Here is a 23,536-nt window from a genome sequence, read left to right as displayed (position 1 = left end):
ATTAGTGTGTGCTGTCCTGCACAGTATCCATATGTGAATACTGAGCACTTGAAATGTGGTTAGTCCAAAATGAGATGTCCCGTCAATGTAGAATACACACAGGATTTCAAAGACTTACTACAAAAAAAGAGTGTAAGATACCTCATTAGTCACTATTATATGAATCACATGTTGAAATAACATTCTGGATGTAGTAGATCAAGATTATAGATTACTAAATTTTGCCAATCTATTATATTTTTTAGTGTCACTACTAGAATATTTAAAATTTTGACCTACATATTTCTGTTGTACAACCCTGTTGTCTCTATCTGGACCATAATATTTCAAAGTCACTGAATGCCTATTTATGAAATAAATAATGGCCATATAATTGATTTAAAGAAGAAAGTAGCCGGGCGTGGTGGCTCATTCCTGTAATCCCAGCACTTTGGGAGGCCGAGGGGGTGGATCACCCAAGATCAGGAGTTCAAGACCAGCCTGGCCAACAGGGCGAGACCCTGTCTCTACTAAAAATACAAAAGTTAGTTGGGCGTGGTGACAGGCGCCTGTAATCCCAGCTACTTGGGAGGCTGAGGCAGGAGAATCACTTGAACCCAGGAGGTGGAGGTTGTGGTGAGCCAAGATTGTGCCATTGCACTCCAGCTTGGGTGACAAGAGTGAAACTCCGTCTCAAAAAAAAAAAAAAAAAAAGAATAAATAAAATACGTTTATGTTGTACATTATAATTCTTTTTGTTTGTTTGTTTGTTTGTTTGTTTTGAGACAGAGTCTTGCTCTGTCGCCCAGGCTGGAGTACAGTGTGGCGTGATCTCAGCTCACTGCAAGCTCCGCTTCCCGGGTTCACGCCATTCTCTTGCCTCAGCCTCCCCAGCAGCTGGGACTACAGGTGCACGCTGCTACGCCTGGCTAATTTTTTGTATTTTTAGTAGATACGGGGTTTCACCGTGTTAGCCAGGATGATCTCGATCTCCTGACCTTTTGATCCGCGTACCTCGGCCTCCCAAAGTGCTGGGATTACAGGCATGAGCCACTGTGCCCGGCCTTGTACATTATAATTCTATAGAGCTCTTTTATGTACCTTTATCTTGTTTGATCATCCTAACAACCTTATGAGAATGACAGATTTTTTTTTTTTGAGACAGAGTTTCACTCTGTGGCCCAGGCTGGAGTGCAGTGGTGGGATCTCGGCTCACTGCAACCTATGCCTCCTTGGTTCAAGTGATTCTCCTGCCTCAGCCTCCCAAGTAACTGGGACTACAGGCATGTGCCACCACGCCCAGCTAATTTTTGTATTTTTAGTAGAGACAGGGTTTTACCATGTTAGCCACACTGGTCTTGAACTCCTGACCTCAAGTGATCTGCCTGCCTTGGCCTCCCAAAATGCTGGGATTATAGCAGTGAGCCACCGCGGCAGGCCGAGAATGACAGATTTCTGATCACATATTACAAATGAGGAAACGAGAGGCTCTAAAATAAAAGTAAAAAGCATAGGCTCACACAAATAATAGATGTGGCTTATTATGTGTGGGTAGTTAATATAAAGGGAAGGAAATTCAAGATGTTGCAATATAGCAAGATATACCAGTTTGCACTGGGCTTGCAACATCCCAGTAGCTGCTTCTATGACACTCACAAGGTTAATAAAGTTCTTTAAGAATCTGCAAGCCACAGTCTTCTTCTCTGTCTTCTGTACTTTGTTCCTATGACCCCAGGGAGGCCATAGTTTGGGAGTCAGGGGGAAGAGTGTTAAGAGAGACAATGGGAAAATATCTTTCCTCACAAATCCACTTAGGATTTTGGGACAGATGACTTTTGGTCAGGGTCCTCAACAGATTTTGTTGACTTTATTCATGAAACACAGCCACATCTGTTTTTACTCACCACAGCATGTCCAGGGCTAACCTCAGTACTCCACAAATAGCTTTGAGAGTGGTTTATAAACTATAAACACGGTGTCACAGACATGAGGGGTAGCAAATGCCTGATTTGAACTAAAGAAGGGAGCAAGCAAATTCCACAGCAGAAACTAAATTTACAGAACAGATCAGGAAGAGAAAGAGAAAATAAGGAGAAGTGAAATTGTGAACTGAGGGAGGAGTTGTTGGACGTGTGGTCAGGGAGCCTCAAAGAGATCTAGCCCTAGTCGGTCTTGCATTAGAAGTTGCCAGTACATGTGTGACCTCAGCACTGTGCTTTAAAATAATCTGGCAGGTTACTTATAGGGTGACAAATGGGAAGGGAGAGTTTGGAGAAGGGAAACACTTAGAAGGCTGGACATTGGCCCAGGTGAGAGATGAACAAGCAAGTGGTGGAGGTGGAGGTGGAGGTGGGGGGCAGAGCTGGAGTCACGGAGGGAGCCAGGAGGGGGGTCATACTAACATCTGCTGTTGATCTGGGATGAGGAAGGAGAGAGAGGCTGGAGTTCACTTTCCCACAATTGAAAGAGGCAGGGGTGAGGGGCTTCCTTACCAACGGTGGAGGTGGGACTCTGGGGCTGGCATCTGCAAAGCAAGGGAAAGACAGCCTACGGGACTGCCAGGCCCAACCCAGAAGGGACGAGGGGTGCATGGGGTCTTCAGAACACAGAGGCAGCCGTAGACAACTGCTGTAAACGTTCTGTCCTTCAAGTCTCTTCAGCCATGTAAGGGAACTGAAAGAAAAGAGGGACCTTATCTGCCTTGATCTTAAGTTGTTCTGAGGGATGTGGGGCCTCAGGCCAGGGCAGCAACCTGAGCAAATCCGGTTGGTTTACTCCCTCTTCTTTTCTGAGCATGTGGGTGTCTATGTGTGAGCTTATATGCGTGTCCTGGCCTGCATCAATCTGCGTAGGTGTGTATTTTTTTATATATTCGAACTTCTCTTTGTGTATGTTTCTAAGTGACTGAAGGTGTCTACAGATGCATATAGTTGAGATGATGTCCTCACGTATTTTTCTATACTAATGTGTCTACAGATTTCATGTTAACGTTTCAGTTCTTGAAGAAACCTAAGCAAGCCTGCATATTTAGGCAACTTTAGGCAGATGCATAAATGTGCACCTATAACTTATGCTGGAGCCAGCTCACACAGCTCACAAAGACCCAGTTTTATGTACAACTCTTCCATCTTCCATGAGGTGTAATTATGTTGGTAGCTTGAAATCACCGTGGTGGGAGTATTTACACCACAGAAATCAGTAACTGCTACAACTTAGGTTGTTGTTATTGTTGTTTTCCAGAAAGCTGGCTGTTAACACTTACCAGCACACCACTGGGTATATGCCTGTGAGAATGCCCATGGTCTGTGTATATCAGTGTATAAGCACACACTGTATACGAAAGTGTGTATCTGTGTAGTGGCTCCAATGTTTTACAGACTGCAAACTCAGGGGTACAAAAAGATAACTTTTTCTACAACTAAACTTGATTTCTGACTCAATCCTCCACTCTTCCCTAAAAGCAGAAAAACTTAATCTAGTTAATCACTTACAGATGAACTCAGTCATTTCGGGTTTCAACTTAGGTCCAACACTTGTCCTCCTCCTCTTGGCTCACTAGGGTGACATGTGACAGCCAGGGTTAAACCACTGCAGCAGCACTGAGGAGAGGCATCCACCAGCCTCTGCTGAGATGCACAGTTTTCCCACTGGGGCATTTGGTCTCCTGACATCTCCTAAGATTCCCAAGGCACCATGAGCCCTCCAATTGCCCAGTCTGTACTGCCATTTTGGGAATGTGTCTCCTTGTCAGGTGTCAGGGATGTTTATATGTCTTTCATAATGCCTAACTATATAACACTCTGTAAGATAAAGTGTATGTCCATTTTATAGCAGCAGAAATGCTCAGAGGTTAGGGACCAGATTGCCACAACACCCTGTGAATTATGTGCACTAGTACATGCTTTTGGTAATGATGGATTAGGACATTGGTGCTTGAATAATCAGAATCCCCCATTCCATCATTGGGCCCTGCACCAACTGTGATGTCTCCTATGCTACGGTATAGCAGGAAACCCAAAAATAAGTGTACATGGAGAGAGGGCTGTGAGGTTGAACCAATAAGAATTCTGTGCCATGTAAAACCAGTGGAATAAGTTTCACAGACCTCCCCTCCGAGCCTGTCTGGTTCCTTTATCAGGATTTAGTTATCTGGCTTCTAGATGGAGCTCTGGTACTGAGCTACCAACATTGTGTGTCCCAGAAGAAAGAGGCAAAGAACTACAGCAGTGGGGTGGATTTTTCCAGAACAGACCTCCTCTGGAAGAGGTTCTGTAAAGTTGCTGCAAGGAAATGGTGGGCAAGGGATAGAGGGAGGGTGATCTCTTCCAGGCTGCCTTGCCCATTAGCAAATGTGTGGAACCCATAGTTCCCCCTTTTATAAAATTGTATTTTTTTAAGAGATAGGGTCTCATTCTGTCTCCCAGGCTGGAGTGCGGTGGTGTAATCATAGCTCACTGTAGCCTCCAGCTCCTGGGCTCAAGTGATACTCTTGCCTCAGCTCCAAAAGAGTTAGGACTAGAAGCATCCACCAGCACGGCAGGCTAATTTTTAAAATTTTTTTGTAGAGATGAGGTCTCGCATTGTTACCCAGATTGATCTTGAACTTCTAGCCTCAAGTGATCCTCCTGCCTCAGCCTCCCAAAGTGCTAGGATTACAGGGGTGAGCCACTGCACTTGGTTGTATTTATTTTTTGAAAAAAAAAATTATAATTTTTTGAGATAATTTTAGATTCACATACAATTGAAAGAAATACTACAAAGAGATCTCAGTTTCCCCCAGTGGTAACATCTTTCACAACTACAATATCACTACTCAGATATTAACAGATACAGTCCATCAATCTTTCAGATTTCTCCATTTTTTATCGTACCCATTTTTTGTTTTTGTTTGTTGAGATGGAGTTTCGCTCTTGTCGCCCAGGTTGGAGTGCAGTGGGGCCATCTCGGCTCATTGCAACCTCCATCTGCTGGGTTCAAGAGATTCTCCTGCCTCAGCCCCCCTGAGTAGGGATTACAGGCACGTGCTACCACGCCTGGCTAATTTTTGTAGTTTTAGCAGAGATGGGGTTTCACCATGTTGGCCAGGTTGGTCTCGAACTCCTGACCTCAGGTGATCTGCCCGCCTCGGCCTCCCAAAGTGCTGGGATCACAGGTGTGAGTCATCACTCCCAGCCTGTCGTACCCATTTTTATAAATATGTGTGTGTTTAATTCTAGTTTTATCACACATGTAGGTTCATGTATCCACCACCGCAGTTGAGATACCGAGCTGGAATCCATCTCCAGCAGTATTCCTCCAGTTCTCCTCCTTTTATACTCACACTCCCTTTCTGCCCTGAACCCTGGCAGCAACTAATTTGCTCCCCATATCCAAACTTTAGTCATTTCAGGAATGTTATATAAATAGAATTGGGCCGGGCACAGTGGCTCATGCCTGCAATCCAGCACTTTGGGAGGTGGGATGATCACTTGAGGCCAGGAGTTCAAGTTCAGCCTAGGCAACATAGCGACCTCCCCATCTCCCTGTATAATTTTAAAATAAAAATGAATTTAAAAATTATAAATGGAATCATAGAGTATGTAACCTTTTTTTTTTTACCCATCTTAGTTCTCTGGAGATTTACCCAAGTTTTGTTGCCTGTCTCAGCAGTCATTCCTTTTCATTGCTGATTAGAATTCCATGGAATGGATGTAGTGCCTTTTTTAGTGACATAGTCACACATACAAATCTCTATATACTCTAAAGGTTATAAAGTCATGGCTCCTTATCTGCGAATCCTTGAGCCTAAGGAAGAATGCAAGACAGAGCCACTTCTGGAGCGTTCTTTTCAGCTCCTGGAGCTGAGCCTGGCTGGAACCCGCCTTCCCCATCTGCCTTTGGGCATCTGGGAAGCAGCCCAAGCTTGGTGCTGAGTGAGAGCTTCTGGGAGAGCTCCTGCTGAGACAAGGGACAGTCCCTGGTGGGTGGAGGAAAGGATTGTTGGGGGAAGGAAGAAAGCAGAGGCTGTGAGACTTTCTCCAGGCAACTGTCTCCACTGGCTTTGTCACTCCCTACCAGGTTCCCAGAAGACTGTACTTCCAGCCAGAGTGCCTCCTCCCAGAATCCTGAGGGTTCTCAACCCCTTTCCAACTTAGCAGTTCCATCCATCACAGCTACATGTGTACATGAGCGAAAGCCTGCTCCCATCTAACTTGATTCTCTCAGGATGCTTCTAAGGATGCCTCCTCCCCTGTTGCCCAGGCTAAAGTGCAGTCATGTGATCATGGCTCACTGCAGACTCGAACTCCTGGACTCAAGTGATCCTCCCACCTCAGCCTCCCCAGTAGCTAGGACTCCAGGTGCACACCACCACATCTGGCTAATTTTTTATAGATACAAAGTTTCCCTATGTTGCCCAGGCTGGTCTTGAACTCTTGCCTCAAGCAATCTTCCTGCCTTGGCCTCCCAAAATCCTGGGTTTACAGGCATGACTCCCTCTCTGACACTCTCTGAAGCTAGAAAGTTAGAAAGGGGGGCTGGGAGAGTCAACCAGCTGGGAGCATTGGGAGGCTAGAAAAGGGGTTAGAATGGACTGGAGCAGTCAGGAAGGCTTCCTGGAGGCAGTAGTCTTAAGACTGGTGAGAAATGAATGCATAGTGAGAAGGAGCAGGAAGGGCACTTGGAGTGAAGCAAGGGTGGGGCGGAGGAGGGGTTTGTGCAGGAGACGGGGTCAGAGCTGGAACTCAGAGTGTCATGCTTGGGTGCTTGTGGGTGGTGGGCAGGGCCAGGCAGCTTTCCTTCCCCTCACCTGCCCAGGAGAGCTGGACAGTGACCTGCAGGCAAGAGACTGGACAGAAGAAAGAGGACGGGCCGGCCAGTAGCTTAATCAGTGATACCAGTCCCCTTGCATCATGACCTGTAGGTCTCAGAGAGTTCCTGGGGCTGACTGCAGCCAGTCCTGGCTCTTCCAGTACCTGCTAGAGGAGAGTGAGCCCAATAGTCTGCGCAGAACTGAGGAGGGCTCTTGGGACATAGGACTTTTCCATTTTTAAAATGGGAGGAGTTGGTCACTCTGTGAAGGAATCTCTTCCAGAGAGGGGGCCCAGAGCAAGGCTGAGGGCGCGACCCCAGTGATCTATGCTATCGGTAATATGACTTGAGTGTTTTTAGGAGGGAAAATGTTTTGTTTTCAGTTTTATAAAATTGTCTTCCAATAACTTAGGGCAGGATTTATATGTTACTGCAAATAATAAAATGAGCTATTAATAAAATGGATTAAACTGATCCATAGATCAGTTTGGCAGTGTTTCCCAGTATTTCCTCAAGAGATATTAATGGGTATCTCCAGAAGACAGGATTCTTATGGTCCTTGGGAACACTGAGACTTCCCAAATCCACCTGTCCCACCCTTACCCTGGAGAGACACAATGTACTGCCCATCAGTAGATTGAGGCTCAGAAAGCCCCAAAGGAGAGAAACTTGTTTTTTCCTGTTTAATGGCTAGATAAACAAGGTTATTTGCACAGATGTAGTCTGGTCTCTCAAGTGGTATTGAGTCCCTAATACGTGTTCCCTGCTACACACACCACAAATTTTCTCTTCCATCCAGTTTGGAAAACTCTGGAAGTGAACATAGATCTACAGGCTGCCACCTACTTTATGGCCATGGAGTCCCTGTATCAGCTCAATAATCCCACAGCCAGGTTTTAAGGATAAATCAACTAGAAGTGTAATTTCTATTCTTGTTCGATTTTTTTTCTTTAATAATCCACTGGCTGGATTATTACTGGATTAATACTGGATCCTATTCAAAGGCCACAAAATTTCTACTCCCCACATGCCTCATACTAAAGCCCTAGGCCTGGGCTTTGTTTCCCTCAGGTTGGGACAAGCAGCAGCAGCAGGGTCCATGCCCTGGAGCCGCTCATCACTTCTGAAGGCCTCAAGAAGATGCACCAAGCTGAGGCCTGGCAGCGTAGGAGAGTGGGGCTGGCAGCCCTCCACTCTTTCTTTCCCTTACCTTCTTTCCTGAGTCAGCCCTGAATATACCGCAGATACTGTTTCCGAAAGACTTCGGCTGCTCCAGCCTTTTCTGGCCCCTGTGGAAAACAAGCCAGGTGGCTTTCAGTTCTCCAGACCCAGGCTGGGGCCAGACCAGGGCCAGGAGTTGTCACCCAGGGTCTCTCATGGGCCCTCCCCAGCATCCTGCATCTGTCTACATGATGGACTATATCAAGGGAGGCCATTGGAGTTGTTGACACAACGGGTTTTTTTGCAGTCATGAACCCCCAGTTGGAGCATTGGGAGAAGAAAGGCAGGAGAGGCAGGCCTTACCCAAGATCTGCCCTCAGTTCTGCAGTCCCCTGACTGGGGCAGGTGGGGCAAGGATGTAGTCATAGTGTGCAAGAGCAGGTAAGAGAAGCAGTGGAAAAGGCAGGATTGGAGGATGGCTTGGAGAGTGAGAGGTGTTCTAGTCCCAAACTAGGAGGAGATTTGGGCCCTGGTAAAACTGTGAAGTGGTACAAGTTGGGCTCTGGAGGCATGAAAAGTGGGAGTGGAGTGGGCACCTTCCACAGGAAGCCAGGTCTTGTGCTCTCTTGTGGCCCAGGCACTGTCCCCCTCTCCACCTTCAAACCCCATTGGGAGGAAAGTCAGATGAACCAGCACCCACTGAGGATCCCAGCCTTGGCTGAGGAAAAGCCACCTCACCTTCCCCAGAGGACTGAGATCCCGGACATGAGCATGATGGCTGGTAAGCTGGGGCTGCCACTTCCACCCCAAAAGCCATCCACCGAAAAGCCCCGGAAGCGGTGTCAAGGGACATGACAGCATCAAGCTCAGAGACCTGACAGTGGATACCTGCAAGGATCGATTGTGTATTCCAGGGAGCCGGCCTTCCTCTCCCCACCCTTCAGGACCCTGCCCCAGTTAAGGCTGTGCACTTTAAGAGAAGCCCCGAGGGAGAGCAAGGATTGACCTGGAGGGGTGTTCTTCTGATGGCAGTCTCTTTCTGTTGCCCAGGTTGGAGCATACAGGCACAATCCCGGCTGACTGCAACCTCCGCCTCCTGAGTTCAAGCGCTTCTTGGGCCTCAGCCTTCCGAGTGGCTGAGACTACAGGCACGCATCACCACGCCTGGCTAATTTTTTGTGTTTTTAGTAGAGACGGGGTTTCACCATGTTGGCCAGGCGGGTCTCGAACTCCTGGCCTGAAGTGATCTGTGTGAGTCGGCCTCCCAAAGTGCTGGGATTACAGGCCTGAGCCACCACACCTGGCCAAGATTTTCTTTTTTCTTCCTACACATAAGTAAGGACATGTAATATTTGTCATTCTGTGCCTAGATTATTTCACTTAATATACATACCTGCAATCTCATCCATTTTCTCTGCAGTGGAGAGGATTTTATTCCTTTTGAGGCTGAATAATACTTCATTGTGTGTGTATACCACAGTATTTTAATTGAAACAAATTTCGAAAAAGCAAATATTTTTCAAATGTCTCGGAATGTGAAAGTTTAGGGATACTGTGCCCATTTTATTCTTTTCTATTTCCCATTTTATGTATATGCAAGTGTATCATAAAGCAGAAATCAATGGGTAAATAAATTCATAACTTCAACAAATGTAAAATGAAAATGCTAAGTGGTGGCTGGGTGCGGTCGCTCACGCCTGTAATCCCAGCACTTTGGGAGGCCAAAGCAGGCGGATCACCTGAGATCGGGAGTTCAAGACCAGCCTGACCAATATGGACAAACACTGTCTCTACTAAAAATACAAAAAAAAAAAAAAAAAAAAAAAAAAAAAAAAAATTAGCCGGGCGTGGTAGCACATACCTGTAATAGCTACTCAGAAGGCTGAGACAGGAGAATCACTTGAATACGGGAGGCAGAGTTTGCAGTGAGCTGAGATCGTGCCATTGCACTCCAGCCTGGGCAATAAGAGTGAAACTCTGCCCCCCCCCAAAAAAAAAAGAAAAGAAAAAAGAAAATGCTAAATGGTAAGAAAAAACAGCATAATAAAAATTTGTGTGGTGTTGAAGGACAACACATTTGAAGATAATATTTGAAGAAATCATTATTACAATTAACTTCTTTTCTTACTTATTGGAGCTTGATGCCTCTAAAAACTTCATCATTGGAATCACCTCTGGTGCTTTAAAAAAAAAAAAAAAAAAAAAATCCACTTACCTACACAGGTGCAAGTAAATCAGACTTTCATGTAATGAGACGCAGGCCTCATCATTTGTAAGCTCCCCAGGTGATTTGATTCAAAGACAAGCTTGAGGACCGGTGACATGGATCTCTACACATAACCTGCCTAAATAGATTCTCTAGAAGCAGTTTATAGAGAAATTCCACATGAACTCTGGAAGAGGATATGAATTTGATGTACAGTATGTCCTCACTTATCGTCTTTGAAAGTCTCTTGGAAACTTCACTTTTAAGCAAAATTATGTATACTGAAACCACTTATTCCTCATCAACATCATAACAACTTTGAACACAACAACAGTGTTGGAGGACCTGCTGTACATTGTTTCCATAAAGTCAATGTTCAGGGAATTCCAAAATGAAGTGAGGACTTCACGTATATAAAAAGATGGTTATGATTCCACCTGGATGACAGGGTTACTGGTCAGAAACTAAAGGAGGCCACCTAGGTATAGAGGATTCAGTTATGAGGTTTCTGCTAAACAAAGGATCCCAGAATCCTCACCCATTCCAGTTAAAGGCATAACGATGAAAGCAATATTCACATAGGAAATGTGGAAAGAAATAAAAGCCATCAAGCCACAAAAATAATGTGACTAAGGGGCAGGATTTGCAGATGTAGGGATTTAATGTGCTTGCCCTTTCTTACCCACACAAGAAAAAGGATGGAACAGATCATGAGATTCGACTGTTCTGCTGCGCAGCCTCCACAGGGCGCTTTGAATGTCCCTGTTTCTCAGGCAGTAGATGAAAGGGTTCAGCATGGGGGTGACCACAGTGTACATCACTGACACCACCACACCACTCCTGGGGGTGGTGCCACAGCTGAAGTCAGGTACACGCCAATGCCTGTTCCATAAAATAAGCAAACAACTGCCAGGTGAGAGCGACAGGTGGAGAAGGCTTTAGACTTCCCATCTGATGATGAAATTCTTAGAATGGAGGGGACAATGTTAGAGTAAGACAAAAGGATCCCTGAAATCGGAAGAAAACGAAACATAGTACTATCTAAATATATGAATATGCTATCGATGACGCTGTCAGAACAGGCAAGGTTGAGAAGTTGAGATGGGTCACAGACAAAATTAGAGATTTCCACATTCTTGAAGAAGGTGAATTGTAACACAGTCCAACTGTGCAGCTGGGAATCCAACAGGCTAAGGAAAAAGGACACCAAAACGAAGAAGACACCGAGGCGAGGATTCATGATGACTGGGTAGTGTGGGGAGTGACAGACGGCTACAAATCGGTCATAGGCCATCACAATCAGGAGCATGATCTTCTATGCATGCAAAAAGGGCAAAGAAAGACATCTGTGTCAGGCAGCTTGCATAAGAGATGACTGCTATGCGACTGCATGTCCACAATCATCTTGGGAACTGTGGCCGAGGTGAAAGCGATGTCAGCCCATGACGGGTTGGAGAGGAAGAAGTACATGGGGGTGTGGAGGTGGGAGTCAGAGCTGACAGCCAGGATGATGAGCAGGTTCCTCAGCACCGTGAGCAGATACATGGACAGGGACAGCCCAGGGAGGACAGGCTGCAGTTCTGGATCCTCTGAGAGTCCCAGGAGGAGGAATTCTGAGACACCTGTGAGATTCCGTGGCTCTGTGTGACTTGGACACCTTGAGAAGAAAAGAGGATTGGAAAAATAAAAGATAAAAACCAGCCCTTAATGCTGTGTGTATATTTTGGATGCAAGCAATTCACAAGGAACATTTTCACACTTGAGGACCATACACCGTCAGCAATATTTCTCAGTTGTGACAAACCCAAAAATCCCAGAATTATTACGTGATGATTTACTGTTTTCTATTCAACTCCTTCTGTACGTACTACTTTAGAGAAAATCCACTGAAGAATGTTAGAAGACCAAAACATAATATATAACAAATCCGTGATCTCAGTAAAATACGGCCTACTCTTTTCAGAAACAATAACATGCAATAAAAACGTTCTTCTCTCTTTAAGAAAAAGATCTCAGTCTAATTGAAAGAAATTAAGAAGCAGTGAAATACCCTTTATTTTATTCTGACACCGTGCTACAAATTCCTCTGATGTAGAATATTTAAAAGGATGACACAAGAGCTAGGACCACATTATCTAAAAACTAAGTCAAACCTTAGAGTTCTTAATCGGAAGACCTTTTAGCATGCCAGTTACTTTTCATATTTATTGCCATCTTTAGGTTTTCTGACATCATTTCTTCATAAAAATACATGCACAGTCAAATGTGGGAGCTGTGTCTCCAAATTAATTGAATATATAACTCTTGGCCGAGCGCCATGGCTCACACCTGTAATCTCAGCACTTTGGGAGGCCGAGGCTGATGGGTCACCTGAGGTCAGGAGTTCCAGAGCAGCCTGGCCAACATGGTGAAACCCCGTCTCTAGTGAAAACAAAAAAAAACAATTAGCCGGGCGTGGTGGCGGGTAACTCTAGCTACTCGGGAGGCTGAAGCAGGAGAATCCCTTAGAACCTGGAAGGCAGGGATTGTACACCCTGTGATACTAGTTTTGATATCCTAGGGAGATATTGCTCCTGACAGCAGAGTGGGCGAACAACCACTTTGTTCTAGGATATTTGCAATATCCTAGAAAGATATTGCTCCTAATATCACAGTGGGTGTACACCTGTGATATTAATTGTAATATCCTAGAGAGATATTACTCCTAATAATACAGTGGGTGTACACCCTGTGATATTATTCATAATATATTATGGAGATACGACTCCTGATATCACAGTGAGTGTACACCCTGTTTGTACACCCTGTGATATTATTTGTAACAACTTAGAAAAATATTACAGCTAATATCAAAGTGGGTGTACATCCTGTGATGTTATTTGTTATATACTAGGTAGATATTACTCCTAATATCACAGTGAGTGTACACCACGTGTGTACACACTGTGAAATTATTCGTAATACCCTAGGAAGATATTACTCCTAATATCGCAGTGGGTGCACACCCTGTGATATTATTTGTAATCACCTAGGGAGATACGACTCCTAATATTACAGTGGGTGTACACTCTGTGATACTATTTGTAATGTCCTAGGAAGATATTACTCCTAATATCAAAGTGGGTGTACACCATGTGTGTACACTCTGTGATACAATTCGTAATATCCCAGAGAGATATTTCTCCTAATATCACAGTGATATTATTCATAACATCCTAGAGAGCTATTGCTCCCGATATCACAGTGGGTGTACACCCTGTGATATTATTCAGAATATCCTAGAGAGATATTTCCTCTAATATCACAGTTTCTGTACACTTTGTGGTATTATTTATAATATCCTAGGGAGATATTATTCCTAATATTACAGTGCATGTACACCACGGGTGAACACCCTGTGATGTTATTGGTAATATCCTCTAGGGGGATATTACCCGTCATGTCACAGTGGGTGTACACCATGTTTGTACACCCTGAGATGCTACTCGTAATATCCTAGGGAGAAATTACGCCTGATGTTACAGTGGGCGTACACCATGTGTTTTTATTCTGTGATGCTATTCATATCTCAGAAAGTTATTATTCCTAGTGCTACAGTGTGTGTATACCATGTGTGTACACTCTGTGATATTATTCGTATTATCCTAGGGAGATAGTTCTCATAACATCACCATGGGTGGACATCATGTATGTACACCCTGTGCTGTTATTGGTTATTTCCTGGGTAGATATTACTCCTAGTATCACCGTGGGTGCACACCATGGGTGTACATCCTGTGACGGTATTCGTAGTATCCTAGGGAGATATCACTCCTTATGTCATACTGGGTGTACGGCCTTGTGATATTATTGGTAATATCCTTGGGACATATTACTCCTGTTATCACAGTGGGTGTACACCCTGTGATAGTATGTGTCATATCCTAGGGAGATATTACTGTATACCCTGTGATATTATTTGTGACATTTTAGGGAGCTATTTCTCCTAAAGTCAGAGTGGGTGTACACCCTGTAATATTCTTCCTGATATCACAGTGGGTGTACACCATGAGTGATATTTTTTCTAATATCCAGCGGGGAAGAGGATGATATTGCTTCCAATATCGCAGAAGGTGTACACCCTCCTGTGATATTGTTCCTAATATCCGGGGAAGGAGAGGATGACATTATTCCCAATATCACTGGGGTTGTACTACCCCCCGCCGGGATATTGTTCCTAATACCCGGAGGTGGAGAGGATGATAATACTCCCAATATCACAAGGGGTGTACACCACCCCTGTTTGATATCGTTGGTAATATGCCAGGGGGCAGAGGATGATATTACCTCCAATATCGCAGGGTGTGTAAACACCCGCTGTGATATTGTTCCTAATGGCCTGTGAAAGAGAAAATATTACTCCCATTATCGCAGGGGGTATTCAGCCCTGATGAATATTGTTTTCTAATATCCAGGGAAGGAGAGTATGATATTACTCCCAATATCGCAGGGGTTGTACACCTTTTTGTGATATTGTGTCTAATAACCAGGGAAATAGAAGATGATATTACTCTCAATATCGCAGAGGGTGGACACCACCCTGGGATATTGTTCCTAATGTCCTAACGGGGAGAGGATGATATTACTCCCAATATCAAAGTAAATGTACACCACCCCTGTGATATTGTTCCTAATATCCAGAAAGGAAAAGAATGATATTACTCCCAACAGCATAGGAAATGTATACCCGCGCTGTGATATTTTTCCCTATATCCAGGTGGGGAGAGAATCATATTACTTCCAATATCGAAGGGTGTGTACACCCACTCTGTGATCTTGCTGCTAACATCCAGGTTTGGGGAGGACGACATTACTCCCAATATGGCAGGGGCAAGTTCCCCCCCGTGACCTTGTTAGTCATTTCCTGGGTGGAGAGGATGATATTACTCCCAATATCGCAGCGGGTGCACACACCCCTGTGAAACTCTTCCTTATATCCAGAGGGAGAGGGGATGATATGACTCCCAATACCGCAGGGGTATACACAGCCCTGTGATACTCTTCCTAATATCCACAGGGAGAGAGGATGATATGACTCCCAATATCCCAGGGGGTGTACACAACCCTGTGATATTGTTCCTAATATCCAGAGCGAAAGAGAATGATATGACTCTCAATATCGCAGGGGGTGTACACCCCTCCTGTAATATTGTTCTTAATACCCTGGGAGGGAGAGGATAAGATTACATTGAATATCGAAGGGAATGTACACCCTCCCCCTCTGATACCCTTCCTAATATCCAGGGGAAGAGAGGATAATTTTACTCCCAATATCGCAGAGACACTACACCCCACCTGTGATACTGTTCCTAATATGCAACGGGGAGAGGATGATACTACTCCCAATATCGCAGGGCTGGTCACATCCCCAGTTACATTTTTCCTAATATCTAGGGGAGAGACAATTATATGACGGCAAATATTGCAGGGTCTGCACATCCCTTCCTGATATTGTTCCTAATATCCAGGGGGGAAGAGGATGATATCAAATATGAAAGGGGGTGTACACCCCCCACCCCTACGATGTTGTTCTTAATATTCATGAGGGGAGACGATGATATTACTCCAAATATCGCAGGGGCTGTTGACACCCCCTGTGATATTGTCTCTGATATCCGGGGGGGAGAAAATCTTATTACTTCCAATATTGCAGGTGGTGTATACCCCACCTGAAATATGGCACCGAATATCCAAAGAGGGAGAGGATGGTATTAATACCAATATCGAAGTGTGTGTACAAGCCCCTTGTGATATGGTTTTTCATATCCAGTGGGCGGGAGGATGATATTAGTCCCAACATCCCAGAGGGTGTACACCACCCCTGTGATACTGTCCCTAACTTCCAGACGGGAGAGGATGATATCACTCCCAATATCTCACAAGTTGTACATCCCCCGTGATATTGTTCATCATATCCAGGGAGGCAAAGGATGACATTCCATTGAATTTCACGACAGGCGTACATGCACAGTGTGATATTGTTCCTAATATCCAAGAAGGGAGAGGATGATATTACTCCCAATAAAGCAGTGGGTGTACATTACCCCTGTGTTATTGTCTCTAATATCCGGGGCCGGGGGAGGTGGGGAGAGGATAACATTCCCTCAAATTTAGCAGGTGGTTTGATGCCCCTTGTGGTGCTGTTTTAAATATCCAGCGGGGAAGACAATAGTATAGCACTATTTTTGATAGTCCGATTCATCCGCTCCACCTTTCCGGAACTCTGAGGCTGGGAGGCGGCATGCAGTTTCCGTGTGATCCCCAATACCTTTGCCGTCTTCTGTACCAAGTCAGCCACAAACACTGGCCCGTTATCTGAGCCTACCCATAAGGGCAGTTCAAACCTAGGAATAAGATCTCGAAGAAGCAGATGGGTTACTTCACGAGCTTTCTCAGTTCATGTTGGATAAGCCTCCACCCACCCAGACTAGGTACACCCAAGAACTAGTAAATACTTGTTACCTCCACACTTTGGCATCTCTCTGAAGTCTACCTGCAGATCTTCAATGGGGGCTGCTGCATAAGCTTGTATGCCGGGCGGAACAGCTGGACCTTGCCTCGCATTATGGTGTCGGCAGGTAACAAACCGCTGCCTCATGGTTTTGGCGAGGGCTGACAAATGCGAGATGTAGAAATACCGGCCTAACAACTTTTCCAGTGACTCCTGACCTAGATGGATGGTTTCATGCACAGCCAGTACAACTGCACCTCCTAGGAGCTGTGGCACAGCTACTCTCCCATCTGGTAACTGAATCCATCCTTCCTCTGTCACTTGTCCTCCCCTTTACCTGGAGAAAGTCCTTTTCTTCTTTAGAAGAAGTAGGTACAAGATCAGGTGTTTGAGGGAGCAGAGGGGCTGTGACTGATGCCTGGAAGGGGACAGATGCTGCTTTTTGAGCCTCTGAGTCAGCGTGGGAATTCCCCAAACCCAGCAAGGTGGAAGCTTGCTGATGCCTAAGTGCCACCTTGTGGGGTTTCCATACTGCTTCTAATAATTGCAAGATTTCTTGTTGATATTTTATGTCTTTCCCCCCAGAGTTCAGTAGGCCCTTTTCTTTCTATAATCCTCTACGCACTTGAAGGGTTAAAAAGGCATACCGAGAATCAGTGTCAATGTTGACAGTCTCACCTTCACTGAGTTCTAAGGCCCCAATTAAAGCAATGAGTTCAGTTTTCTGGGCTGAAGTGGCCTGGGGCAATGATCTGGCTTCAACAACAGTATCCAGGGCTACTACTGCATCACTGTATATCCTGCACATCTCTCTCCTTGTGGGTTGATGAAGCTGCTCCTGTCCACGTATAGTTCCCAGTCTACTGATGCCCAAGGCTGGTCCCGAAGGTCAGGTCTGCTAGAGTCAACTGAATCCAACACTTCTACACAATCACGCTTGACAGGCCGCTCTGATACCGGGAGCAAGGTGGCAGGGTTTAGGGTGTTACAAACTTCAGTGGTTATACGGGGATTTTCACAGAGCACACTTTGGTACTTGATGAGTCTAGCATTCATTAGCCAATGATGTCCTTTAGTGTTCATTAAAGTCACCCCAACATGGGGGGCCTTTATGTTCAGGTTTTGCCCAAAAGTCAGCTTATTTGCTTCTTGGACTAGCAGGGCAGTTGCTGCCAAGGCCCTCAAACAGGGGGGCCATCCTTTAGAAACTCCATCTAGTTGTTTAGAGAGGTAGGCCACCGGCCTCGGCCAGGGCCCCACAGTTTGGCTTAAAACTCCAACTGCCATCTTTTCTCTTTCTGACACATACAATGTAAAAGGCTTTGTCAGATCGGGTAGCCCCAGGGCTGGGGCTGACATAAGTTTTTCCTTTAACTCATGAAAGGCTTGCTGTTGTTGGGATCCGCATTCAAAAGTTTCCCTGTCCCCCCACCCCCAAACTTTGTGAGGTCATACAAAGGCTTGGCTAATACTGCAAAGTTTGGGATCCACAGTCTATGAAACCCCACAGCTCGTAAGAATTCTCTCACCTGCCTTCTGCTCTTAGGCTCTGGTAGATTGCAAATGACCTGCTTTCTTTCTGATTCCAGGCCGCGTTCCCCCTGTCGGATACTAAATCCCAAGTAAGGTACCTGCTATCAGCAGATCTGAGCTTTTTTCTTGGACACCTTATACCCACAGTCCTCCAGGTGCCAGAGTAGGGCATCCGTTCCCTTGGCGCACCCGACTGCCATGGGGTGTCCCAGCAAAAGGTCATGAACGTATGGGAGCAACACGCTCCAGCAAGGAGACTGACAAGGAATTGTAATTCCCAAAGTTCTTAGGTGCTTGAGATGGCCCTCGATACCTTGAAGAGCTTCTCTGGGGACCGGGTCCTGGTTTTGCCTAACCAGCTGGGCCCCAGGCTTAACTTGTATGAGTATGGGGGCTTGGTTGACTGCCAACCCTGGAGGGTTGTCTTCTGCCCGTACTCTTCGCCACCACTTAGCCAGAGGTGATCTTATCTCTCCGCCCGGCTCAGTTAAAAAAAAGTCTCCATTCCTCCTCTCCGGGGATGGTAAGGGTCATAATGACTCCCGTTCTGGGGAATTTTAGCAGCAAAGACAGTTGCTCTCAGCTTGCTGAGCAAGTCCCTTCCCAACAAGGGCAAGGGACAGTCAGGCATGTACAAAAACTGATGAATCACTTTATGTCCTCCTACAGTACAAGTCTGAGGCCAGCAGAAAGCTTGCTTTGCTGAAACCCCCATGGCTCCGATGATATCAATAGTCTTTTTGGATAAGGGGCCGACCAGGGCGGTTACTAGCGAATGTTCAGCACCGCTACCTACAAGAAAATCAATGTCTCTACCCCCGACTGTCATTCTGACCATAGGCTCTTTGGGGACACTTGAGCCTGGTCTCCCTCAGTCCAATAACCCTTCTGCCAGGTTGAGCAGGGCCCCTTCCTCCTTGTCCGGGGCCTCCTGCTCTGAGTCACCTTGTTTTCTTTTGAGCTGAGGGCATTTGTTCTTCCAGTGTCCTATTTCTTTACAAGAAGCACACTGGTTACACTGCAAACTCTGACAGCCAAGCTGAGTTTCATTCCCAGGGCCCCCCCTTCCCTTGCCTCCTTCGGAGGACCCCTCTGATTGCTGCAGCTGACAACCAGGTCGGTGTTTCGCCGGGCCTGATGTCCATTCTCTTTGCGGTTTTCCTCAAGGCTTACTGCAGCCCTGTTTACAAACACCTGGTTGGCTATTTCTAATAATTGTGATGTATTCATCCCTGCAAACCCAGCCTGTTTCTGCAGTTTTCTTCCAATGTCTTCTGCGCTTTGACTGACTAAAGCCATGTGAATCATGCGCTGATTTTCAAGACTATCAGGATCAAAGGGAGTATACATACAATAGGCCTCACACGGTGTCTCGTAGAATTGTGCTGGACTTTCTTCTTTTCCCTGAATGACCTCAGAGACCTTGTTAACGTTTGTGGCCTTCTGTGCTCCCCTCTTTAATCCTTCCAAGAGAGCTTCCCTGTCTCAGTTTAGCGGTTTAGCCTTTGCATAGCCTCTCTTTCATTTGGGTCCCACTGGGGTTCGGTTCCTGGTAACTGGGTCCTTAGGGGGGTTTTTGATAATCAGCTGGTGCATGTTCCTCTAGCCACTTAGTTGCTGCTTGGAGGACTCTCCGCCTTTCATCTCTGTTAAAGAGGAACATGAGCAACTGGTGCCAATCAGCCCAGGTGGGGTTGTGGGTCTGGATAATAGTTTGGAGCAAATCAATTAGAGCTTGTGGCTTTTCGGTATTGCACAAGGTATTGTTTTTCCAGTTGAGAAGGTGGTCAGAGGTGAAGGGCTGCTACACAAAAACACGCCTCTCCACCAAGTGACCATCCTCATCTATCCCAGTATACCGCTGCTCTCTCAGGGGCATTTGTATCCCAGTTTCGGGTCATAAACCAGCTGCCAAGGGAGGGGTTTCTCCCGAGTCTCCACCTCCTCTCTTATCTGCTCTGGGTGGCCTAGGGATATGCTTGTCTTGGGGAGGCACAAGCACTGTGGGCTCAAGAGTGGGGAGCCTCTTTCCCTGGTAAGGGGAAGGCAGCACTGGGATCACTGGTGCCATCTCCTGTAATGGATCTTCTGATGTTGGGTCGAATAGAACTTCAGGAGTTGATTTCCCTGGGTGGGTGGAGCCGGATCCTTCCTTAGCTATCTGTCCCTTTGCTCCTAGTACTGCTGCTGCCTGGCCTCTTAGCCACTGTGGGGGGTCTAGCACCAGCTGTCACCAAGTGTCTATGTATGGGAACTGGTCTAGGTATCCTTTACCAGTCACCTTTTGCCACACCTTAGAAACAAGGGACCTGTCCAGGCTTCCTTCTGATGGCCAACCCACTATTAAAGTTGGGCAATCTATCTCTCACAGAGTTCCAAGTTCCCCTGGCGGTCTAGTGGTTAGGATTCGGCGCTCTCATCCACCGCGGCCTGGGTTCGACTCGTGGTCAGAGTGAACCAAGTAAACGTTCTGGATGAGCCAAAGACAAAACCTCTCAGACACCGGATTTAAAAAGGAAGAGAATTCTTTTTCGACCGGGAGCGTCTGCAGACTCGCGTCTTAAGAGCCGAGCTCCCCGAAGGAAGACAGACTCCCTGGCCCTTTTCAGGGCTTACAACTCTAAGGGGTTCCACGTGAAAGGATCGTGATGGATTGAGAGCACATGTGCTTAGAGTTGGGCGGGGGGGGGTTCATCTTTTCACCTCGGGCCAGCTCATCAGTGGCAACAACTGCTCTTGACACTGACTTCATCCTGTTCTTTTTCAACTTTTACTTCCTTCTCCTTTTCAGAGACAGGAGACAGTCAGAAAAGTGGCTTCCCTCCTCAGGGCGACAGGATGATATTACTTCTACTATCGCAGGGGGTGTACACACCCCTGTGAAACTCTTCCTACTATCCAGAGGGAGGGAGGATGATATTACTCCCAATAACGCAGGAGGTGTACACAACCCTGTGATATTGTTCCTAATATCCAAGGTGGGAGAGGATGATATTTCTCCCAATATCGCAGGGGTGTTCACATCCCCCATTACATTATTCCTAATTACTAGGGGAGAGACAGTTATAGGACAGCAAATGTCTCAGGGTCTGTACATCCCTTCCTCATATTTTTCCTAATATCCACCGGTGAAGAGGATGATATGAAATATCAAAGGGTGTGTTCCCTCGACCCCCCCTTGATATTCTTCTTAATACTCATGAAGGGAGACGATATTACTCCAAATATCGCAGGGGTTCTTCACACCCCCTGCGATATTGTTTCTAATATCCGGGGGAGGGGGGCAGAAAATACGATTACTTCCAATATTGCAGGTGGTGTATACCCCAGCTGGATATTAGGAACAAGAGCACAGAAGGGATGTACACCCAGTGCGATATTTGGAGTAATGTCATTGTCTACCCCTGGCTATTAGGAACAACATCACAGAGCGGTGTACATTTTCTGCGATATTGTGAGGAATGTCGCAATATTACTTATCACAATTAATAATATCAATTATTAATTGATAATAATAATCAATATTAATAACTGATAATATGATTTAAAAAATCAATACCGATAATAATGATAATTACTATTAAATAGTTATACTAAGAATAACAATAAATTATTAATATTATTAATAACACCAATTAATAACTGATACTGATGTTATTCATTAGAAACAGTAATATTAGCTCCTAATAATTAATATTAATATTAATAATCTGAACACTTTTTGTTAGCAATTATTTATTAATATTAATATTGGTAATTCATATTGATGTTAATAATCAAGGAGTAATAATTAATACCAATACTACTCCTAATACCACAGTGGGTGTACACCCACCTGTGATATTGTTCCTAATGTCCACGGAAGGGAGACAGCACGATATTACTTTCAATATCGCAGTAGGTGTACACCCACCCGGTGATATTGATCCGAATATAATATCCAGGCGGTGGAGTATGACGTTACTCCCAATATAGCAGTGAGTGTACATCCACCCGGTGATATTGCTCCTAATATTCACGGAAGAAGAGAATGCTATTACTCCCAGTATCGCAGGAAGTGTACACCCCTTCTGTGATATTGTTCCTAATATCCGGAGGGGGAGAGGGTGATATGACTCCCAATATCGCATGCTGTGGACACCCACCCTGTGATACTGTTCCTAATAGCCAGGAAGGGAGAGGACAATATGACTCCCACTACAGCAGGAGGTGTACACCCACGCTGGGATATTATTCCCAATATCCGTGGAGAGGAGAGGCTGATATCACTCCCAATATCGCAGGGGGTGTACATCCATTCTGTGATATTGTTCTTCCTATTCAAAGGCGGAGAGGTTGATATTATTCCCAATATCACAGAAAGTGTACAAACCTGTGTGATATTGTTCGTACTATCCAGAAGAAGGGAAGATGATATTACCTCCCATATCGCAGGAGGTGGACACCCACTCTGTGATATTTTTCCTAATATGCAGGGCGGGCGAGGATAATATTCTTCTTAATAGCGCAGGGTGTGTACAGCCCCCCCAGTGATATTGTCCTTAAGGTTCCAAGGCGGAGAGAATGATATGACTCCCAATACCGCAGAAACTGGACACCACACCAGTGACATGTTTTCCATCACCCAGGAGAGAAAAGGATGACACTACTTTCAATATCGCATGGGGTGGACACGCCCCCAGTGATATTGTTCCTAATTTCAACGTGGGAGAGGATGATAATACACCCAATGGCACTGGGGGTAGAGACACTCCTGTGATATTGTTGTTCATAACAAGGGGGAAGAGGATGCTATTAATGCCAATAGTGCAGATGATGTACACCCATGTGTGATATGGTTGGTAATTTCCAGAGGCGGAGAAGATATTCCTCACAATAACGTAAACAGGCTGTGTGACCACCGTGGATCGTAATAACCAGGGGGAAAGGGGGGGATGATATTACTCCCCGCATCACGGGGGGCGCCCGCCCCCTGCCATGTGGATCGTCATATCGGGGGGGAGAGGGGGGTGATATGACTCCCCGCAGCGCGGGCGGCGCCCGCCCCCCTGGGATGTGGATCGTCATATCCGGGGGGGAGAGGGGGGTGATATGACTCCCCGCATCGCAGGGGCCTCACCCCCTTGCGATGGGGATCCCAAGAGCCAGGGGGGGATAGGGGCTGGCTCTTACTCCCCGTACGGCGGGGGGGCCTCACCCCCCTGCGATGGGGCTCCTAAGAGCCAGGGGCAGAGAGGGGCTGGCTCTTACTCCCCGTATCGCAGGAGGTGTGTACAACCCCTGAGATATTGGGAGTAATATCATCCTCTCCCCCTGAATATAAGAAACAATATCACAGGAGGATGTACACCCCCTGCGATATTGGAGGTAACATCATT

The 23,536-nt window shown here is 45.9% G+C and overlaps 2 pseudogenes, besides 1 other annotated feature; one reads left to right on the top strand and one right to left on the bottom strand.

The window, feature by feature from the left end:
- Positions 2,835-2,924: an enhancer, noted in NCBI's record as "active region_16011". NCBI's record gives its function as "activates an Ori minimal core promoter by ATAC-STARR-seq in GM12878 lymphoblastoid cells {active_cell/tissue: GM12878}" and the evidence as "EXISTENCE:reporter gene assay evidence [ECO:0000049][PMID:35858748]".
- Positions 10,933-11,579, bottom strand: OR7E62P (olfactory receptor family 7 subfamily E member 62 pseudogene; annotated as a pseudogene).
- TRE-CTC15-1 (tRNA-Glu (CTC) 15-1) lies at positions 20,541-20,613 on the top strand (annotated as a pseudogene).

The sequence above is a fragment of the Homo sapiens genome, chromosome 2, assembly GCF_000001405.40.
Source record: "Homo sapiens chromosome 2, GRCh38.p14 Primary Assembly".
Classification (NCBI taxonomy): domain Eukaryota; kingdom Metazoa; phylum Chordata; class Mammalia; order Primates; family Hominidae; genus Homo; species Homo sapiens.
The sequence above is the reverse complement of the archived record's forward strand: the minus strand, read 5'-3'. Positions and strand labels throughout refer to the sequence as shown.